This window comes from Homo sapiens, chromosome 2 (genome assembly GCF_000001405.40).
Source record: "Homo sapiens chromosome 2, GRCh38.p14 Primary Assembly".
NCBI lineage: Eukaryota > Metazoa > Chordata > Mammalia > Primates > Hominidae > Homo > Homo sapiens.
The window spans coordinates 29,943,837-29,946,371 of NC_000002.12; the positions used below are offsets into that span (position 1 = coordinate 29,943,837).

At 43.7% G+C, this 2,535-nt stretch overlaps 1 annotated feature.

The window, feature by feature from the left end:
• Window positions 470-971: an enhancer, noted in NCBI's record as "NANOG hESC enhancer chr2:30167172-30167673 (GRCh37/hg19 assembly coordinates)". NCBI's record gives its function as "activates a minimal SCP1, AML or CMV promoter by ChIP-STARR-seq in primed H9 embryonic stem cells {active_cell/tissue: H9 hESC(primed)}" and the evidence as "EXISTENCE:reporter gene assay evidence [ECO:0000049][PMID:30033119]".

Below are 2,535 nucleotides of genomic sequence, written 5' to 3' on the forward strand. Positions count from 1 at the left end.
GAGAGAGACACCAGAGAGCTTGTTTGCCCCTTCTGCCAGGTAAGGTTACAGTGAAAAGATGGCTATCTAAGTACCAGGAAGCAGGCCCTCTCCAGGCACCAAATCTAACAGCAAATTGATCTTGGACTTCCCAGCATTTACAGCCATGAAAAATAAATTTCTGTTGTTGATAAGCCACCCAGTCTATGGTATTCTATTATAGCAGCCCACATGGATGAAGATGCCTACCTATTGGCATCTTCTGAGAAGAATAATAGCTTAGTTTTGTGAGGATAAAGAGGGCACCTTAGGCAGAAAACAGTATGTGCAGCGGTACAGAAGTAAGAAGCAGCATTCCCTGACCAGAGAGTAAGAGGAGTGGCTGGAGAATGGGGTATGTGTTAGGAGCAGCGGCAGAAAGTGTGGAAGAAGCAGGCAGGAAGTAAATTTCAAAGGACTCAGCACACGGGATGGGGTAGTTTGGACTTTCTGATAGATCCTCACCATGACCACCCCGAAGCACAGTTTTTCCTCATTATTCACATTTCAGTATTTGCAAATTCTCCTACTAAAATTTCTTTCTGTGTAACTCCCAAATCAAGTCTTGAGATGCATTTGCAGTCATTCATAGACATATGCAGATGAGGGAAAATGTGCACGCTCCCAGCTGAGGTGGGACCAGGTGAAGCTCTGCCTTTTTGTTTTGGCTCTCAGACTGTAAACCAGCACCCTTTTGCAGTCTATTGAGTGGCACATTTTTGTGCTTTTTGTTGGTGATTCTGAAGTAGGAGACCAGCAGGACTTGTTTTCTGGTCACAACCCTGCTGACACAAAACAGAATCTGATCCAGATGGGATGAAGTAAAGAAACTGGCAGAAACCAGCTGGGCACAGTGGCTCACACCTGTAATCCCAGCACTGTGGGAGGCCAAGGGGGGGCAGATCATTGAGGTCAGGAGTTCGAAACCAGCCTGGCCAACATGGTGAAACCCCGTCTCTACTAAAACTACAAAAATTAGCTAGGCAAATTGGTGCATGGTGCAGGCCATTAGTCCCAACTACTCCAGAGGCTAAGGCAGAAGAATTGCTTGAACCCAGGAGGCAAAGGTTGCAGTGGGCTGAGACTGCACCACTACACTCCAACCTGGGCGACAGAGACGCTGTCTCAAAAAAAAAAAAAAAAAAAGAAACTGGCAGAAACCAGCAGATGGTAACAAAAGTGATCCCTAGATGCCCTCATTGCTCATTAGCATAACACACTCCCACCAGTGGCATGACAGTTTACAAATTCCATGGCAATGACCTGGAAGTTACCACCCCTTTCTAGAATGTTGTTGAATAAACTGCCCCTTAAGCAAGTATTGTAACTGCAAGTATTACAAGTAATTGGATATAAATATGGCCACCAACAGCCCACAAGTGTGACTCTGGGCACGCTGCCTATGAATTAGCCCTGCTCCACCAGAAGCAGCTCCAGTTCAATAAAAGACTGCTATTTAACACCACTGGCTTACTCTTGAATTCTTTCCTGGGTGAAGCCAAGAACCTTGTATTAGTCTGTTCTCATACTGCTAATAAAGACATATCTAAGACTGGGTAATTTATAAAGGAAAGAGGTTTAATTGACTTACAGTTCCACATGGCTGGGGAGGCCTCACAATCATGGCAGAAGGTGAATGAGGAGCAAAGTCACATCTTACATGGTGGCAGGCAAGAGAGCATGTGCAGGGGAATCCCCCTTTTATAAAACCATCAGATCTTGTGAGACTTATTCACTATGATGAGAATAGCATGGGAAAGACCCACCCCCCATGATTCAATTACCTCCTACTGGGTCCCTCCTACGACATGTGGGAATTATGGGAGCTACAATTCAAGATGAGATTTGGGTGGGGACACAGCATAAGCATATCAAACCTTCCCTGGCTAAACCCCAATTCTGGGGCTTGCCTGTCCACCTGCTTCAATTCCACTGTTTAAAATAGCTCCCATGTATGGTGCTGAAGTGCTGCAGGGCCAGAAGGATGTGACATGACTTACAAAGAAAATGCATGTGTTAGATAAGCTTTATTCAGTCATGAGTTGTAGTTCTGTTGGCTATGAGTTCAATGTTAACTAATCAACAATTTGTATTAAATAAGATGTCTAAACAGAAACACACATAAAACAAGGTTTTAACAATGTGTTGATAGAATGATTAAACTATTATGACCAAAAGCTTGCAGAAACCTAACTCCATATTTCTCCTAGGAGCAATGGTTTAGTATTTCATTCAGTGTTTGCAGCAACTGTATACAATGTAACTACCATGAATAATAAGAATCAACTGCACTTGGAATGGTTTCATTTTATTTGACTTTTAAATCTCCATTTCACAAATTGGGACCCTAAGTCTCACAAGGCTGAGACTTGCCCAAGGCTCCGTAACTACTAAGTATCAGAGCCAGGACTTGAACACAAATGGTCTGATTCCCACTCCCACCATGTTTCTACTCTGAAATGCAGCAGATGCTAAAATAGCAGAAATACCAGTGTCCCTCAGGCCAGGTCTTAGAAA